Source organism: Homo sapiens, chromosome 20, assembly GCF_000001405.40.
Source record: "Homo sapiens chromosome 20, GRCh38.p14 Primary Assembly".
In the NCBI taxonomy this organism is placed as follows: domain Eukaryota; kingdom Metazoa; phylum Chordata; class Mammalia; order Primates; family Hominidae; genus Homo; species Homo sapiens.
In genome coordinates, this window is record NC_000020.11 from 8,367,111 (window position 1) to 8,387,843 (window position 20,733).

Here is a 20,733-nt window from a genome sequence, read left to right on the forward strand (position 1 = left end):
GTTTTTTCTTCAGCTAACTCTCACCACTAGGCACACTTTTACATTCAGTAAGTGTAATATTTTTATTTGAAAGTTCCCAATATAAAGAAATGATAGTTATAGATTCTTCATATTAACAAAAGTAATGTATTGCTTTATCAATGATATTCACATGAAAGGCCTTATAACAACATGAGTGAGTATATAATTAGTGCTTCTCAAAGTGTGGTCATTGGACCAGCAACGTCAGCATCACCTGGAGGTTTATTTGAGATGCAGATTCTCAGGCCTGCCTCAGACTCACGGAATCAGAAAGTCTGACAGGTGACACGGAGCAAATCTGTATTTTACTAAGCTTTTCAGGTGACTGTAATGCAGGCTACAGTTGGAGAGCCACTGATACGGAAGGTATGATCATACCCATTTAATAGATGAAAAAATTGATGCTCAGTGTGGTAAAGTTATTGACTAAATACATGAATAATTAATTTTAAGGTCCTCACTCAAACCCAAGTTTTCTGCAATATACACTCTGTAGTCTCTCTCTCAAAGAAAGGAGTAAAGAAATAATGAATTCCACAAAGCTGGAAAACAGAAACTCTTAAACTGAGGAAGGGCAGAAAGGGACCATTTCACTGCTTTATTGTAATGAGTTGTTAAAACTATTGTCACGAGAAAATTAACCTAGAAAAAGTTTTAATGATACAAGAAACACTTTTGTGGTCATGCATTGGGTTCCTCATTTTCTTTTTAGTGGCAGAGAGAAAGGGATGCAGTTAAACTCCAGAGGGGTGGCTGTGGTATGTTAATAGAAGTGGGAGACACTATTTGAATCATCGCTTTGTAGCCAAATGAGTTCATGGACGGCATTTCCACCCAGGTCTTCCCCACGCCACATTACCCTTGATGACAGTGCCCTGCGGTGGTTTTCATGCACACAGTTGGCGTTAACTACCCTTCCGTGGCTTGGGGAATGAATCCTGGAAGTGGAATACAGAGTTCATTATCTGTAATGCAAAAGTCTATATAATGATGCCTGCTAAGATCTAGTTCTTTGTTAATTCAATTTGGGCTTTGCGTATATAATCAAACAAGTTATGTTTAAGTCTATTGTTTCTTCAATTGGGAGGAATTTCCTTAAATAGAAAATATTACGGGCCGGGCACGGTGGCTCATGCCTGCAATCCCAGCACTTTGGGAGCCCGAGGCGAGTGGATCACTTGAGGTCTGGAGTTTGAGACCAGCCTGGCCAACATAGCAAAATGCCGTATGTACTAAAAATACAAAAATTAGCAGAGCATTGTGGTGTGTGCCTGTAATTTCAGCTACTCGAGGGCTGAGGCACGAGAATCACTTGAACCCGGGAGGTAGAAGTTGCAGTGAGTTGAGATTGCACCACTGCACTTTAGCCTGGGTGATGGAGTGAGACTCTGTCTCTCAAAAAAAAAAAAAAAAAAAAAAGAAAAAGAAAAAATAAAAGAAAATATTACTATTGATTAGGTAAAAATACTGTGTGTGAGAGATATATTTTTATCCTATATAGATGTAAAACATCATGCAACATATATGGAAAATTACATCAAATGTAAATGTTAGTGTTTTATAAATAATTATAAAGAGAACACCCATGTAATGACCACTAAATCCCAAAGTGATTGTTGCTAATGCTCCATATACCTCTGTGACATATCCTAAGTGGGTTGTAGTTTTCTGCACACAATTCCTGCTTCTGTGAGTTTCTACCCGCAATTTCCTCTCTCTGAAACCACCACCCACCCTCCCACCCCGATCACACAGTTATAAGGCTGGCAAACTCTGTCTCATCCTTGTGTACTGGCTGAAATCATGCCATAGCTCTCTGTAGCCAATGTCTGTAGGGCACTTTGAAATATTTCCTTTAGCATATAATATTTGACTTGCTTGTGAACTCATCGAAACTGGGATCTTATCTTTGTATGTTTTAGTTTCTCAGTACTAGTGTATACCTGATACATTGTAGGCATTCAATAAATAATGCTCCAGTGAATTAATTACTGGCATTTTCACTTGGATAAACCCCTCAAACCAACATCTCCAGAATGCACTATCATTTTGCCCAAACTTCTGAGTCTCAGTGTAGGAAAGGTGGAAACTGCAGCGTGTTTTATGACTTCCCTCTTTCCTTCAGTCAGTTCCTCCATTGCCATCTCTCTCCTCTTTCTTCCAATTACTTACCTTCATTTTGTCTCTCATCTTTCACCTCTCAGATCTCCACTTATTTCCCATCTTCTAGATTAAACTTCTTCAAGCTTGATTCCCTTACTGTTTCTCCTCTTCCAGCAAATATTTTGGTTGTCATTGCTGTAGAGATGAAGAAACCTGGACATATGCTTGACTTACTCATGTCTGGTTTTTCCACCGTTTCTTCACAGAGGGTTCTATAATGTGCATTTTCTGAAGTGAAGCATTGAACATGGTTGAGACCATTGTTTTCTAACACTCATAAGGTAACCTCCAATATTGTGGATGGTGTGGCCTTCGGGGAACTGTGGCACCAGTCACTCTGTATTGCAAATTCCTTGCTGGGTTGCCACCTGTCACACCCCAGGGGTTTGGGAGAATTTCCACAGGGTCAGACACAGCATGAAATGGGCTAAGGAACCCTCTAAAATGGGGAAAATGAAACTTACAAGGTCAGAGTGAGCAAGAGCAGAGACCCACTGTTTCCTGTCCACCCTTCATCTCACAGAGAGGTGTGTCAGGAGTTCTGTTGGACCTTCTGTGTGGGTTTGCATTCGAGGAGTGAGACTTCACCTTTAATTTGGCCTTTACTACAAGGCAATCTTAGGTGCAGAAAAATAATCAGACCAGTTTGCACCAGACATTTGGAACTGGCAGCAGCTGTTTGAAGAAGTTGACTAAGAGCAAAAGGTGCTGGTTCTTAGGGAGCTTGGCCTTTAAGAAGTTACAGCCACTCCTATCCAGAGGTTCTATTGGCAGCTGAATTAGGATGCAGTGCCTCCTTCCGGGAGAAGGGGATTCGATGCTCCATCCAACTTGCTCATTGCCCAGGAATCATAGTTAGGACATCTGGAGTCACTTTAAGACAACTGCTCACTGCACCACAGTCCTACCTGGCTGGTGGTAGAGTCCACTGTCTAATGCAGCAACCTGTGTGTGTCACAAACCTCATGGCTCAGTCTCCTTAGCCAGACATTTAGGGTTTCCATTCTTTGGCCATATTCCTTTCTGATGTCATCTCTCATGACTTCTTGTCACATGTTCTGTGGCCTAGCCAATGGAATATTGAATGTCCTCCCACGTGAATCCGCTTCCATCCTTCTACAATACCACTGTACCTGCACCTTTGCAGTTCTTCCCTCCTGGATGCTTCTCTATCCTTCTCCCTACCTCCTTTCCCCGCAATGTTCTCTGTCTCTAAGTGTCTAAAGGCCACGAACACCTCAAGGTTCAGCCAAAACCTCTGGCCCTTTCTCATCTAGGCATTTGCTCATATTTTCCCCTCCAACTGGGAGGAACCCCTCCCCAACTTCTTTTTTTCCAAGCTTAATGATTTCTCATAAACTTTTCTCTGAGCCCCTAGGAAAAAAACTGTGTTTTCTTTGCTGCCCCCCAACCATAGTAGTCAACTTTAAAATTGGCATTAACACATTCCCCCTTGTCTTACACATATACATTTCTTTACACTCCTATTTGATGACAGGTCCATCCAGGAAAGCAATCATATCTTCTATGCCTTATTCCCTAGAGTAACTTGTGTATTACAGGTGTTCAATGATGGGTAATGATTAAGTGAAAAGATCAGGGCATGAGGTATGTGTGCAAAAGGCTGGGGGCTGTCAGAGGCAGATTCGTATCTCTGCCTTGGCCAGATAAGCTGGGTATGTATGTGAGCCGATGGGAGCATCCCACTCCGTCCTCCTCCCTAATCTTTCTCTCTACCGACATACCCTCATACCCTCACCTACGCTCAGTGACTCCCAGGATTATATTCAAAAGTAAGAACAAGAAGACCTGATTCATCATGATTTAGGAATGGCTTGTAGGATAGACTGGGGACATAACCACACACTTTTTGCTTTCAAAATGTATAACTGAGCAGTTAGCAGTTAGCTGTCTTTTGTTTCCAACCTAATTCAATTGAGAAGTGATATAAGAGGAAAGAAATATCCCAACTGCAGAGAAGTCTTCAGTCAAGTCTCAAGATAATTTTTTTAAGTGATGTCAATGACATAAAACAAAGAGGAAAGGTCTGTGTCGTTGCTTAACGATTTCACGTTTTTGCCTTCCAGGAGACAGAGCTACTGGATCTCAGCCTTGTCAAAGATGCCAGATGTGGGAGACACGCCAAAGCTCCCAAGGTAGGAGGTTGAGTGTTGTGCATGCACCAGATGCTGCCTTGATTGTTTGGCTGTGTCACAATATCAATTAATTGCCCCAATTAAAAGTTTCTATGTTATAGATGTTGTAAAACACAATAGCCAGTATGCCCTAAACACTTTCACTTTTATTAAAAGACGGAAACAATGAACAAATATGTGGGCTCTTGGACAGAGGGGCTTGCTTTATGTCCTCTAATTTTGCCTTTGTTTGAAAAAAAAAGACAACGACAACAATGCCCAAGTTACTGGGTAATTCTAAATGATTAAAAAGTACTTGAAATTATTTGAAAAAATCTTTGAACCTCGTAAACATATGGGAACTAACCGTTAGACATGATGAATAGAACTCCCATATAGCTGAAATGCTCTGCAATTGAAATGATTCCATCCACAATGCCAAAAGGTGTATAGTCTTAATTCTGCAAATGTTACTAGTAAAGATCAGCATACTTTGGGATGAATTGTGTGCAGTGTCATTTGTTTTGGTTTGAAAAACTTACTGAAGAAATATTCAAAGAAGTGTTTGCAGTCTGTTTATTTTTTGAAGATAATTTTTAAATATTGGATGAAGAACATAATTTTTTAAGCTTAGATGATCTGGTAGGATATAGTAGCAGGATATGTTGTCTTGCCATCAAAGTTAAAAGCTATTCTTCATTTTATTTAAAATTTAGTACTTTACATACTTCATTTCTGGCAGAGAGGGTATTGGCAAACATAGAAGTACAGTTGCCATTTAGGAGCTCAATGCGTCTTTCCATACTTGATATAAAACTAGCTATTTTCTATTTGAGTGTCTTCCCACAACTTTTGTTTTATCTTTTAAAAGTCAAAATTCTTTCTCTGACATTAAAATGATCTGTTGCTTTGGAGATGCAAGAAAAAAAAATCACCTGGAATAATTATTCTTCAGAGGCGTAAAAAGGCAGTAGGTGCCAGCATATTCTATGACACAGCAAACACACGGCTGCTGGGTTTTTTAATTTTTTAATTTTTATTTTATTTGCTGAAAGGGTTAAAATGATCTATGGTAAAATGTAAAAAACAAAGATTTTTGAAAGAAAAATTAGAACTGTATTCAAGAAGGCTTCTATAAGTGTTTCATATGAAACTAATCTGTTATTTACATTTATCTCCTTAGTAACATGGAATTTCAATAGTTTAGCCTCTCAGTTTTGTATCAGACTTACTATAATTAATGCTTTGTTGATGATTCAAAATTGCTCACAGTTTTTAGTATAGGAAAGAATATTTTTTCTTCTTCCCCCAACAACATTTCAGCCAAATTTCATATAAGCCTGTTAGTTCCAAGAACTATATTGATAATGCAGCTATGAAATTTATCTTTGAACCTAAGTTTATTGGCCTAACTTGCAATTTCAATATCGATATTAGTTTTAAAGACAGTTGCCGACACTGCATCAGAGCCCTGTTTGTCCCCAGGCATTGGGAGTCAAAGTGAATTCTGCTGCCACATGGAGGGTTTCTTTCAGGCTTGAATCTGTCTCTTTTATTGCGGTACACAGCTTGCTTATCAGTTAAGTGTTTCGTTTATGGATGTGGTTTGATAAATGTCTACTGAACAGTGACAAATGAACAGCAGTAGGGCCTGTACTGTGCTCAGCTGATAAACCACTGTTAGATCCTCAAATGCTTCTCGTGAGGATGGATTTTTAACACTTAGAATACTCTGACTTTGTCAGCTTTTCTCCATCAGCTCTTTCTTGGAGGGACTGATTACTTCCTCTTTGAATTATCTATGCTCCTGGCTTCCTTTTTTTCCCTCCTATTTATTGCTGATGTTCAAGAACCTCACTCTCCTCTAATATTTTCAAAGCCTGGTTCTATTAAACATTACCTGTGTGGCTTTCCTGAGACTCCAGCTTCTTCCTTGTTGGCTAAATGGTGAAGATAATGATAATAATAAGTACTTGAAATGGTTGCTATAAGGATTAAATGAAATAATTCATTAGGAAACCTTTAGCACAGGAGTTCTCAAATTTAATTGCTCATGGAATTACCTGGGAAACTTTCAAAAATGCTGATGTGTGTTTTCCGCCTCCAGAAATGCTGGTACCATAAGAATCAAATTGATACAGGTGTGGTGTGGGCATGATGGATTTGAAAAACAAATTTGCAGCAAAATTTGAGCACCACTGCCTTAACTTACTCTTGGTGTACAATAAGTACTTACTAAATATTAGCCAATATTGTTGGTAGTAACATTGTTGCTTTTGTTATCACTAAAAAATTCAAGTCAGAATTGTAGAAAGCCACTTTTCATTTCACTCACTTAATTTGGAAATGTTTATGTCAGCAAAAGGGATCAGAGGAGGGGCTTATCTCAAAGGGGGTTGTGGATTGACAGGCAAGAAAGAAGTTGCTATTACTATCAGTTTAAAATCTTCAAATTTCCAGAGAAAACCTCAGCTCAAATTGGACAAATAAAAATATAATTTATTGAAAATGACTGGAATGTATTGAAAATTTCAGCGGAATTGCCAGGTTCAGGTGAAGTTTCATTCCACTGCTCAGTTAATGTCACCAAGGACTAGGTGCCTCTTTTTTTCATCAGTATGCCATGCAAGGTTCTGGTAGGGGTTCTGATATGGCTTGGCTGTGTCCCCACCCAAAATCTCATCTTGAATTGTAATTCCCATCATCCCCATGTGTCGAGGGAGAGACCAGGTGGAGGTAATTGAATCATGGGGGCAGTTCCCATGCTGTTCTCGTGAAAGTGAGTGAGTTCTCACGAGATCTGATGGTTTTATAAGTGTTTGGTAGTTCCTCCTGAGTTCACTCTCTCCTGCTTCCTTGTGAAGAAGATGCCTGCCTCCCCGTCGTCTTCCAGCATGATTGTAAGTTTCCTGAGGCCTCCCCAGCCATGCAAAACTGTGAGTCAGTTAAACCTCTTTGTTTTGTAAACTACCATCTTGGGAAGTTCTTTATAGCAGTGTGAGAACGGACTATTACCGGGTCCTTTTCCATCTTCAGGTTCCCCTTGGATGCTACCCTCTGCACACCACCCTTGGCAGCTCCTGGCCTCCCCACCTAACAGTGTCATATGGGGTGGCCCAAAAGAGAGACTAGCTGCCTATCAGAGAATTGTATCAGGATTACAGTATAACTACCTTGTAGAAGAAGGTGTAGGGCCTGCAAGAGGAAAACTAGACCATTGAGTTGGTTAGAACAAAAGCAGCAACAGGACTTAGAGTAGATTAAAAGTATAAAGATACCAGGATAAAGTGAAGAAAGCTTGGAAACTGGGGACAGAAAGGCAATGTAACAAAAGGACAGATTGAGTGCAAGACTTTCTGCGGGGGCTTATAGACCATAAAGGAAGGAAGAACATTTGTGAAGCAGATATTTATCAAAATACCCAGGCACCCCACAAATATTTATCTCTATATTCATATTATTTTTGTTTTTTACAGCATCTCATTACATAAAAATTCAAGATCTGGTTGAAAATGAACTGTTTTTTGTGCCTGCTGTGATTTGAAATAACATTTACAGGAAATGGAAAAGCTTCCATGTGTTACCCTGTTTATGAATTTAAATGTCAACCCCCAACACAATACATGAAATTCCAGATCTTCTTTTCTGTATATAACCTTTGTTCAAGTTGCCAGTTTTAAAATTTCACATTAGAGAGAACTTGGGAGATCTTTATCCAAATGTAATAACCAAAAGAAAAACACTGTATCCTTTGAAATCTAAAAGGTGCTTACTTTTTTTCTTGCTCTCTCTCTCCCTCCTTCCGGCCCTCCCAGGTTTGTAGAGCACACGTAAGGGCAAGATGCTGTGGTATATATATCTTGTCTGTGCTATGTACATGTACTTTCTGGGTCGTCACTTCAAAAAGATCTTTGCTTTTAAAAAAAGTGTTTATCACTGCGGCCTCTGATCTATTAGTAGTTCCTGACCCATCAGATCCATTCAGTGGCTCATGTGCAGCTTTCATAAAATAAAATAAACTTGATAAGAGTGGAAAATAATCTTGTCTTGTACAGAAAAAGTTGTTTTTTGAAACTTTTTTCATGTATGTGACTGTATGTTCTGAGTCACAGCATAAAGTGTAATTTTTACTGTGGGCAATACATATCGGAGAAGTTTTAAAAAGGATGCTGAACAAGATCATTTCTTCAGCCTCATGATTCTCAGCATGTATTGAGTGCTTAGGGGTATGGAAAAGTGGGGAAAGTGGAGATGTGGGTTCAAGTGCCAGCTTTGCCATTAACAGGCGTAAGGAAGTTGTGCTGTCTGCTGGCATCTCTACTTCCTCATCTATGAAATGGGGCATGGGATACATGGTTTTAGGTATGTAAGTTCCGTTAGCCCTTGATTCCAGCTTTTAAATTGAGAAGTTAAACACCCATGACTTTCCACCTTACAGATTGTAAAACTGATGTTGAATAAGTTTACATAACCTGAAACTTCTTACCTCCTTCATCATGCAAACCAAGTGAACCAAAAAAAAAAAAAAAAAAAAAGGTCACACTCTAGCCAAGGTAAGGTACTATGCCAACAAAAAGGATTAAAGACTTGTGTCAAGCTTCTTTATGTGTGGCTTCTCAAAAGCATTCTAGGATTGCTTTTGGACACCACAGGGAGCGACCTCAGGGTCACAGAGGCTCTCCCAACTTTAGTACATGAAAACTGTGTGCTGCCAACTTCCAGCTCTCAAGAATGCACGCAGCAATGTCATTGAAAAATATTTTTATAGTTACACAAAATAAACTGCTTGTCATGCTGATCTGACAACTAGTTTATTCTATTGGTAAAGGGCAGTTATTTCAGATATGTAGTATTAATTTTAATGTAGATTCTTTGTAAATATCTAGGCCGCAATTAAATTCTAGGTTGTATGTAGTATCACCAGAATCACATAAGGTAGATTAGAGTAAAATCAAATTTTAAAAATTGATTAGGCTTTTCTTTCCTAATCTCTACATAAACATGATAGCTTTTTTACTTCATTCTTTATTGATTCATTGATTGATTGATATTCAATGACAGAAGTCATTGAGTGACTCTTTCTGCCAGGTACTGTTACAGGTGCTGGAAAACAGCAATGAACAAAAAGACAAACAGCTATGCTGTCATATAGCATTTTATTTAAGAGTGAGAAAGTGGTGGTAGTTTTAAACTGGGTCTTAAAAAAGAAAAGAAATCAGCCGGGCGCAGTGGCTCACGCCTGTAATCCCAGCACTTTGGGTGGCTGAGGCGGGCGGATCACGAGGTCAGGAGATCGAGACCATCCTGGCTAACACAGTGAAACCCCGTCTCTACTAAAAATACAAAAAATTAGCTGGGCATGGTGGCAGGCGCCTGTAGTCCCAGCTACTCAGGAGGCTGAGGCAGGAGAATGGCATGAACCTGGGAGGCAGAGATTGCAGTGAGCCAAGATCACACCACTGCCCTCCAGCCTGGGCGACAGAGCGAGACTCCATCTCAAAAAAAAAAAAGAAAAAGAAAGAGAAAGAGAAATCCCTGATTTGCTGTGTTGGCTGACTTCCTTTGGGCAACTATTTCCATGGAGGCAAATTTCAAGCTACCAACCTGATGTCATTGAATGAAGAGTTGGAAGGCAATACACACCATGTCCAGTAGACCTATCAGCAGGTTCCAGCACCTCATGGGGTAGGGGAAACAGATAACAGATAAGTCCCACTGAGAAGCATAAAGCGGGATCGGAGACCTGAGAAAATGAGTGCTGGGAAGGGGTCTGCTGCTTTACAGAGCCATAGTGGGGAAAGGTGTCTTGATAGGAGGCAGTTATATGAGTAGAGACATGAACTTAGTGAGGGAGAGCATTCCTCTTTGCCGGGGATACAGCAAGAGCAAAGCATATTTCAGGAATAGAGGAAGGCCAATGTGGCTACTGTAGAGTTCAGACCTTTTAGGCCATGAAAATGACTTGGGCTTTTCTTCTGATGGAAGAGGGAAGGCTTCTGAAAGTTCTGAGCACAGAAGTGATGGGATCTGAGCTTTTGAAAGTTCCACTGGTGGCTGTTGGGAGTAAACTACAAAAGAGAGAAGCAAGCAGACCAACTAAATGGCTGCTGCAGATATCCTGGGGTGATGATGATAACTTTGCCTGAGGTGGTAGCTAGAGAGGTGGTGAACAAAGTGACATAATCTGAATATGTTTTAAGATAGAGACACAGGGTTTGATAATGTATTGGATGTGAAGTATGAGCAAAAGAAAAGATTCTAGAACAACTATTAGTGTTTTGGCCCAGAAAATTGGGAGAATTGGGTTGCCATGTCCTCAGATAAGAAGGAAGGAAGAGCATATTTAAACAGAAAAAAATCCAGAATTTGGTTCTGGATATTTAAATGTTGAGATGCCTGCTAGACTTTTACCTGATAATGTCAGGACAGTTAGACACAAGTCTGGGGTTCAGGGAAGATGTTGGCCCTGGAGATACAAATGTGGGCATTTGAGGCTCAAATCCTGGGTGAGGTCTCTTAAGGAATGTAGGTGTAAAAGAAAGAGGTTTGAGATCTGAGACATGGGATTGCCAGCATTTAGACTTTGAGGAGACTTGGAGGAAACAGCAAAAGAGACTGAGAATGGTATATACGTAAAAGAATAGAAGGCAGGAACTTGAACAGACACTTGTGTACCAACGTCCATCGATGGATGAGTGGATATACAAAATGTCGCATACACTTACAATGGAATATTGTTTAGCCCTAAAACAGAATGAAATTTTGACACATGCTACAACCTGAGGGAACCTTGAAGACATTATGCTGAGTGAAATAAGCCAGACATAAAAGGACAAATATAGTATGACTCTGTTCTTATATGAGGTACAGGCATACCGCAGCAGCATTGCAGATTTGGTTCCGGAACAACACAATACAGTGAATATTGAAAAAACATAAGTAATACACATTTTTTGGTTTCCCACTGCATGTAAAAGTTATGATTACACTATACTGTAGTCCATTACATGTACAATAGCTTTATGTCTTAAAAATCAGTTATTTTTAGACATAATTTTACAATTAAATTAAATAAAAAATATTTTATTGGTAAAACATGCTAATGATCATCTGAGTCTTCAGCAAGTCACAGAGGGTCTTGCCTCGATATCAAAGGCTGCTGGCCATTCAGGGTAGTGATTGCTGAAGATTAGGGTAGTGGTGACAATTTCTTAAAATAAGACAACAGTGAAGTTTGCAACATCAGTTGACTCTTCATTGCATGAAAGATTTTTCTGTAACATGAAATCCTGTTTGATATTTTACCCACAGTAGAACAGTAGAACTACTTTCAAAATTGGAATCCATCCTCTCAAACCCTGCTTCTGTTTTAGCAACTAAGTTTATATAATATTCTAAATCTTTTGTTGTCGTTTCAACACTGTTCAGTGTATCTTCACCAGGAGTAGATTCCATTTCAAGAAACGACTTTCTTTGCTCATTCATAAAAGTAACCCCTTGTCTGTTCAAGTTTTATTTATTTATTTTTACTTCTTATTTTGTTTTATGTTTTTAATTTTACTTTAATTTCTCGGATACATGTGCAGAACATGCAGGTTTGTTACATAGGTATACGCATGCCATGGTGGTTTGCTATGTCTATTGACTCGTCCTGTAAGTTCCCTCCTCTCACCTCCCCCACCCCCCAACAGGCCCTGGTTTGTGACATTCCCCTCCCTGTGTCCACATGTTCTCATTGTTCAACTCCCACTTATGAGTGAGAACATGCAGTGTTTGATTTTCTGTTCCTGTGTTAGTTTGCTGAGGATAATGGCTTCCAACTTCATCCATGTCCCTGCAAAAGACATTATCTCATTACTTTTTATGGCTGCATAGTATTCCATGGTTTATATGTACCACATTTTCTTTATCCAGTCTATCATTGATGGGTGTTTGGGTTGGTTCCCTAACTTTGCTATTGTAAGTAGTGCTGCAATAAACATATGTGTGCATGCGTCTTTATAATAGAATGACTTATATTCCTCTGGCTGTATACCCAGTAATGGAATTGCTGGGTCAAATGGTGTTTCTGGTTCTAGATCCATGAGGAATCACCATACTGTCTTCCACAATGGTTGATCCAATTTACATTCCCACCAACAGTATAAAAGCATTCCTATTTCTCCACAGCCTCACCAGCATCTATTGTTTCTTCACTTTTTAATAATCACGATTCTGACTGGCATGAGATGGAATCTTACTGTGGTTTTGATTTGCATTTCTCTAATGATCAGTGATGTTGAGCTTTTTTTCATATGTTTCTTGGCTGCATAAATGTCTTCTTTTGGAAAGTGTCTGTTCATATCCTTTGCCCACTTTTTGATGGTGGTATTTGTTTTGTTTTGTTTTTTTTCTTGTAAATTTGTTTAAGTTCCTTGTAAATTCTGGATATTAGACCTTTGTCAGATCGGTTGATTGCAAACATTTTCTCCCATTCTGTAGGTTGCCTGTTCACTCTGATGATAGTTTCTTTTGCTGTACAGAAGCTCTTTAGTTTAGTTAGATCCCATTTGTCAAGCTTGGCTTTTGTTGCAATTGCTTTTGGCATATTTGTCATGAAGTCTTTGCACATACCTATGTCCTGAATGGCATTGCCTAGATTTTCTTCCAGGGATTTTTATGGTTTTGGGTTTTACATTTAAGTCTTTAATCCATCTTGAGTTAATTTTTGTATAAGGTAGGAGGAAGGGATCAAGTTTCAGTTTCCTGCACATGGCTAGCCAGTTTTCCCAGCACCATTTATTTAATAGGAGATCCTTTCCCCATTGTTTGTTTTTGTCAGGTTTGTTGAAGATCAGATGGTTGTAGGTGTGTGGTGTTCTATTCCATTGGTTCTGTATGTCTGTTTTGGTACCAGTACCACCTGTTTCGGTTACTGTAGTATTGTAGTATAGTTTGAAGTCAGCTAGTGTGATGCCTCCAGCTTTGTTCTTTTTGCTCAGGATTGTCTTGGCTATACAAGGTCTTCTTTGATCCCATATGAAATTTAAAGTAGTTTTTTCTAATTCTGTGAAGAATGTCAATGGTAGTTTCATGGGTATAGTATTGAATCTATAAATTATTTTGGGCAGTACGGACATTTTCATGATATTGATTCTTCCTATCCATGATGATGGAATCTTTTTCCATTTGTTTGGGTCTTCTCTTATTTCCTTGAGCAGTGGTTTGTAGTTCTTGACAAGATCCTTCACATCCCTCGTTAGCTGTATTCCTAGGTATTTTATGCTCTTTGTAGCAGTTGTGAATGGGAGTTCATTCATGATTTGGCTCTCTGCTTGTCTATTGTTGGTGTAAAGGAATGCTTGTGATATTTGCACATTGGTTTTGTATCCTGAGACTTGGCTAAAGTTGCTTATCAGCTTAAGGAATATTGGGGTTGAGATGATGTGGTTTTCTAAATATAGAATCATGTTGCTGCAGACAGAGACAAGTTGACTTCTCTCTTCCTATTTGAATACCCTTTATTTCTTTCTCTTGCCTGATTGCCCTGGTCAGAACTTCCAATACTAGGTTGAATAGGAGTGGTGAGAGAGGCCATCCTTGTCTTGTATTGGTTTTCACAGAGAATGCTTCCAGTTTTTTCCCATTCAATATAATATTGGCTATGGCTTTGTCATAAATAGCTCTTATTATTTTGAGATATGCTCTATCAATGCCTAGTTTATTGAGAGTTTTTAGCATGAAGTGATGTTGAATTTTATCAAAGGCCTTTTCTGCATCTATTGAGATAATCACATGGTTTTTATCTTGGTTCTGTTTATGTGATGGATTACATATATTGATTTGCATATGTTGAACCAGCCTTGCATACCAGGGATGAAGCTGTCTTGATCGTAGTGGATAAGTTTTTTGATGTGCTGCTGGATTTAGTTTGCAGTATTTTATCGAGGATTTTTGCATCGATGTTCATCAGGGATATTGGCCTGAAGTTTTTTTTGTTGTTGTTGTGTCTCTGCCAGGTTTTGGTAACAGGATGATGCTGGCTTCATGAAATGAGTTAGGGAGGAGTCCCCCCTTTTCATTTGTTTGGAATAGTTTCAGAAGGAATGGTACCAGCTCCTCTTTGTACCTCTGGTAGAATTCAGCTATGAATCCATCTCATGCTGTGCTTTTTTTGGTTGGTAGGCTATTAATTACTGCCTCAATTTCAGAACTTGTTATTGGTCTATTCATGGATTTGACTTCTTCCTGGTTTAGTCTTGGGAGGTTGTATGTGTCCAGGAATTTATTCATTTCTTCTAGATTTTCTAGTTTATTCGCATAGAGGTGTTTATAGTATTCTCTGATGGTAGTTTGTATTTCTATGGGGTCAGTGGTGATATCCCCTTTATCATTTTTTAGTGTGTCCATTTGATTCTTCTCTCTTTTCTTCTTTATTAGTCTAGCCAGCAGTCTATCTATTTTGTTAATTTTTTCGGGAAAAAAAGAAGAAGCTCCTGGATTCATTGATTTTTTTTGGAGGGTTTTTCATGTCTCTATCTCCTTCAGGTCTGCCCTGATCTTAGTTATGTCTTGTCTTCTGCTAGCTTTTGGATTAGTTTGGCCTTGCTTCTATAACTCTTTTAATTGTGATGTTAGGGTATCAGTTTGAGATCTTTCTAGCTTTCTGATGTGGGTACTTAGTGCTATAAAGTTCCCTCTTAACACTGCTCTAGCTGTGTCCCAGAGATTCTGATACACGTTGTCTCTTTGTTCTCATTGGTTTCAAAGAACTTCTTGATTTCTGCCTTAATTTCATTATTTACCCAGGAGTCATTCAGGAGCAGGTTGTTCAATTTCCATGTAATTGTGTGGTTTTGAGTGAGTTTCTTTTTCTTTTTTTTTTTTTTTTTGAGATGGAGTCTTGCTCTGTCGCCCAGGCTGAAGTGCAGTGGTGTGATCTCGGCTCTCTGCAAGCTCCGCCTCCCGGGTTCACGCCATTCTCCTCCCTCAGCCTCCTGAGTAGCTGGGACTACAGGTGCCCACCACCACACCTGGCTAATTTTTTTGTATTTTTAGTAGAGACGGGGTTTCACCATGTTAGCCAGGATGGTCTCGATCTCCTGACCTCGTAATCCACCCATCTTGGCCTCTCAAAGTGTCTTTTTTTTTTTTTGAGACACAGTCTCACTCTGCCACCCAGGCTGGAGTACAGTGGGGCACAATCTCAGTTCACTCTTGTGCTCCACCTCCCGGGTTCACACCATTCTCCTGCCTCAGCCTCCTGAGTAGCTGTGACTACAGGCACCTGCCACCATGCCTGGCTAATTTTTGTATTTTTAGTAGAGACGGGGTTTCACCATGTTAGCCAGGATGGTCTCGATCTCCTGACCTCATGACCAGCCCACCTCGGCCTCCCAAAGTGCTGGGATTACAGGCATGAGCCACCACACCTGGCCTTGAGTGAGTTTCTTAATCCTGAGTTCTAATTTGATTGCACTGTGGTCTGACAGACTGTTATGATTTCAGTACTTTTGCATTTGCTGAGGAGTGTTTTACTTCCAATTATGTAGTTGATTTTAGAGTAAATGCCATGTGATACTGAGAAGAATGTATATTCTGTTGATTTGGGTTGGAGAGTTCTGTAGATATCTGTTAGGTCCCGTTGATCCAGAGCTGAGTTCAAGTCCTGAATATACTTGTAAATTTTCTGTCTCATTGATCTGTCTAATATTGACAGTGGGATGTTAAAGTCTCCAACAAGTATTGTATGGGAATCTCTGCGTCTCTTTGTAGGTCTCTAAGAACATGTTTTATGAACCTGGATGCTCCTGTATTGGGTGCATATATATTTAGGATATTTAGCTCTTCTTGTTGAATTGATCCCTTTACCATTATGTAATGCCCTTTTTTTGTCTTTGTTGGTTTAAAGTCTGTTTTGTCAGAGACTAGGAATGCAACCCCTGCTTTTCTTTTTTCTTTTGGCTTCCATTTGCTTGGTAAATTTTCCTCCATCACTTTATTTTGAGCCTATATGTGTCTTTGCATGTGAGATGGGTCTCCTGAATACGGCATACCGATGGGTCTTGACTCTATCCAATTTGCCAGTCTGTGTCTTTTAATTGTAACATTTATCCCATTTATATTTAAGGTTAGTATGGTTACATGGGAATTTGATCCTGTCATCATTATGCTATCTGGTTATTTTGCACACTAGTTGATGCAGTTTCTTCATAGTGTCATTCGTCTTTATATTTTGGTGTGTTTTTGCAATGGCTGGTTTTCCTTTCCATATTTAGTGCTTCCTTCAGGAGCTCTTGCAAGTCAAGCCTGGACTAAATCCCTCAGCATTTGCTTGTCTGGAAAGGCTTTTATTTCTCCTTCGCTTATGAAGCTTAGTTTGGCTGGATATGAAATTCTGGGTTGAAAAGTGTTTTCTTTAAGAATGTTGAATATTGGCCCCCAATCTCTTCTGGCTTATAGGGTTTCTACTGAGAGGTCTGCTGTTGGTCTGATGCGCTTCCCTTTGTAGGTGACCTGGCCTTTCTCTCTGGCTGCTCTTAACATTTTTTCCTACATTTTGACCTTGAAGAATCTGAAAATTATGTGTCTTGGGGTTGATCTTCTTGTGGGGTATCTTAGCGGTGTTCTCTGTATTTCCTGAATTTGCATGTTGGCCTATCTTGCTAGGTTGGGGAAGTTCTCCTGGATGATATCCTGAAGTGTGTTTTCCAGCTTCTTTTCATTCTCCTTGTCCCTGTCACGTACTCCATTCAATCGTAGGTTCAGTCTTTCTACATAGTCCCATATCTCTTGGAGGCTTTGTTTGTTCCTTTTCATTATTTTTTCTCTAATCTTGTCTGCATGCCTTATTTCAGCAAGGTGGTCTTCAAACTCTGATATCCTTTCTTCTGCTTGATTGATTTGGCTATTGATACTTGTGCATGCTTCACAAAGTTCTTGTGCTGTATTTTTCAGCTCCATCAGGTCATTTATGTTCCTCTCTAAACTGGTTTTCTAGTTAGCAGCTCCTCTAACCTTTTATCAAGGTTCTTAGCTTCTTTGCATTGGATTAGAACATGCTCCTTTAGCTCAGTGGAGTTTTTTATTATCCATCTTCTGAAGCCTACTTCTGTCAGTTCGTCCATCTCATCCTCTGTCCAGTTCTGCACCCTTGCTGGAGAGGCATTGAGGTCCTTTGGAGGAGAAGAGGCACTCTGCATTTTGGGTTTTCAGTGTTTTTTTGTTGATTCTTTCTCGTCTTTATGAGTTTGTCTAGTTTTGATCTTTGAGGCTGCTGACCCTTGGATGGAGTATTTGTGGGGATTTTTTGTTGTTGATACTGTTGTTGTTGCTTTCTGTTTGTTTGTTTTTCTTTCAGTGGTCAGGTCCCTCTTCTATAGGGCTGCTGCAGTTTGCTGGGGGTTCACTTCAGGCCCTATTCATCTGGTTTGCTCTCGCACCAGGAGATGTCACTCAAGGAGGCTGTAGGACAGCAAAGATGGGTGCCTGCTCCTTCTTCTGGCATCTCTGACCTCAAGGGGCACCAACCTGATGCGAGTAGGATCGCTCCTGTATAGGGTGTCTGACAACCACGTTGGAGGGTCTTACCCAGCTGGGTGGCACAGGGAACAGGACCCATTTAATGAAGCACTTTGACTGTCACTTGGTGGAGGGGATGTGCTTCGCTGGGGAGAAACCCACTCTTCTGGGCTGCCTGGATTCCTCAGAACTACCAGGATGAAAGGCTAAGTCTACTGGTCCACAGAAACTGCGGCCACTCCTCTCCCTGGGGCTCAGGCCCAGGAAGATCAGGGTTCTTTCCCTGAGCCTCTGGCTGGAGTTGGAGTTCCTGCAAGGAGTCCCCACCAAGTGAGAAAGGATGAGTCAGGGTCAGGCCTGAAGAGGCACTCTGGCTGCAGTCTGCCACAGCTGGTGTGTTGGGCTGTGGGGGAACCTCTTGGGACCAAGCTGCCCAGCCTTCCTGGCCCCAGGAGAGGAAAAGCATGGCCTGGAGCTGTAGAGATGGATGCTGTCCTTCCCCACCCAGGGAGCTTAGCGTGACAGGCAGTTACAAGTCCCAGTGCTGGCTGCTGCCCCTCCTCCAAGGAGTTCAAATGGCTTAGACAGCAGGCAGCCACAGCTGTGGTGCTGGTGGCCCCTCCCCCTGGGAACTTGGCAGGCTTAAGCAGATTCGAGCTGAGAGGCTGTTGAGAATCTGCACAGCTCTGGGGTTGGGACCCTAGGCCCCAGTGGCGTGGGTTCACGAGTGGGATCTTCCGATCCATGGGTTGCACAGTTCTGTGGAAAAAGCATGGTTTCCCCGGCTGGGTAGCACGCTCACTCGCTGCCTCCCTTGGCTGGGGGGTGAGGGCTCCCCTCTCCCATGTGGCTCTCAGGTGGACCACCACACCACACTGCTCTTCCTTCCTCTCCATGGATCATGCCAGCTGCCTCGTCAGTTCCGATGAGAGAACCTGGATATCTTGATTGCTGGTGGAGGATTCACACACTATTATGATTCTTTTTGATGGAGCCTCTCTGATGGCTGCTGCTCCTAGTTGGCCATCTTGGCCCTGCCTCCCCGTTCAAGTTTTATTATAAGATTGCAGCAAAGCAGTCACACCTTTAGGTTCTAATAATAATTATTGTCCTCTAGCAATTTCTACCACAACTACAGTGACTTTCTCCACTGAAGTCAAAGTCGTCCATGAGGATTGGAATCAGCTTCTTCCAAACTCCTCTTAATGTTGATATTTTGACCTTCTCCCATGAATCTTGAATGTTCTTAATGGCATCTAGAATGGTGAATTAAGGTTTTAAATTTACTTAGCCCACATCCATCTGAAAAATCCCTATCTATAGCAGTGTAGCCCTACCTAAAGTATTTCTTGAATAATAAGATTTGAAAGTCAAATTTATTGATCCATGGGCTACAGAATGGATGCGTTAGCTGGTATAAAACAACATTAATCTCCTTGTATATCACCATCAGAGCTCTTTTGTGGCCAGGTGCATTGTCAATGAGCATTAATATTTTGAAAGGAATCCTTTCTCAGCATTAGGTCTCAACAGTAAGCTTAAGGTATTTAGTACACCATGCTGTAAACAGATATGCTGTTATCAGATTTTGTTGTGCTGTTTATAGAGCTCACGTGAAATAGGTTTAGCATAATTCTTCAGGGCCCTAGGATTTCCAGAACAGTCAATGAGCATTGGCTTCCACTTAAAGTTACCAACTGCCTTAATGCCTAACAAGAGAGTCAGCCTGTCCTTTGAAGCTTTGAAGTCAGGCATTGACTTCTCTCAAGATATGAAGGTACTAGATGGCATCATCTTCCAACAGAAGGCTGTTTTGTCTACATGGAAAATCTGTTGTTTGGTGTAGCCACCTTCATCAATGATCTCAGCTAGATCTTCTGGGTAATTTGCTGTAGCTTCTCCATCAGCACTTCCTGCTTCACCTTGCACTTGTATGTTATGGAGAAGGCTTCTTTCTTTAAACCTCATGAACCAACCACTGCTAGCTTCATACTTTTCTTTTGCAGCTTTCTAGCCTCTCTCAGTTGTCACAGGACTGAAGAGAGTTAGGGCCTTGCTGTGGGTTAGATTTTGGCTTAAGGGAACATTGGGGCTGGTTTGATCTTCTATCCAGATGGCTCAAACTTTCTCCCTATCAGCAATACGTTTGCTTTGCTTTCTTATCATTTGTGTGTTCACTGGAGTAGCAATTTTAATTTCCTTCAAGGACTTTTCCTTTGCATTCACAACTGGGCGGCTGACTGCTTGGCACAAGTGGTCTAGCTTTTGGCCTATCTTGGCTTTTGACACGCCTTCCTCACTCAGCTTAATCTTTTCTAGCTTTTGACTTAAAGTGAAAGGTGCATGATTCTTCCTTTCACTTGTACACTTAGAGGCCATTGTAAGGTTATTAACTGGCCTAATTTCAATATTGTTGTGTCTCAGAGAAAAGGGTGGCCCCAGGAGAGGGAGAAAGATAAGGGAACAGCTGGCCAATGGAGCAGTCAGTACCCACACAACATTTATTCATTAAATTCAACATCTTATATAGGTGCAGTTCCTGATGCTCCAAAACAATTACAATGGTAATATCAAAGATCACTGATCACAGATCACCATAACAGATATATTAATTATTCAAATGTTGTGAAAATTACCAAAATGTGACACAGATACATGAAGCATACACATGCTTTGTAAAAATGGCACCAACAGACTTGCTGGACTCAGGAATGCCACAAACCTTCAATTTGTAAAAACAAACAACAAAAAACCCCCACAATATCTGCAAAGCACAATGAAGCAAAGTGCAATAAAATGAGGTGTGCTTGTAGCTATTGTAGTCAAATCCTTAGAGATAGAAAGTTGCATGGTGGTTGCTGGGCCTGGGGGAGGAGAAAATGGGGAGTTATTGTTTAGTGGGTACAGAGTTTTA

General features: G+C 40.5%; 1 protein-coding gene across 2 annotated transcripts in view; it reads left to right on the forward strand.

Annotated features, from left to right (window-relative positions):
- PLCB1 (phospholipase C beta 1) overlaps window positions 1-20,733 on the forward strand; it is a 752,635-nt gene that overhangs the window by 234,845 nt on the left and 497,057 nt on the right. For both annotated transcript variants that reach the window (NM_182734.3, NM_015192.4), the window contains exon 3: window positions 4,272-4,340. In NM_182734.3, coding sequence (NP_877398.1) covers window positions 4,272-4,340 — 69 coding nt within the window. The remainder of the gene's footprint in view (window positions 1-4,271; window positions 4,341-20,733) is intronic.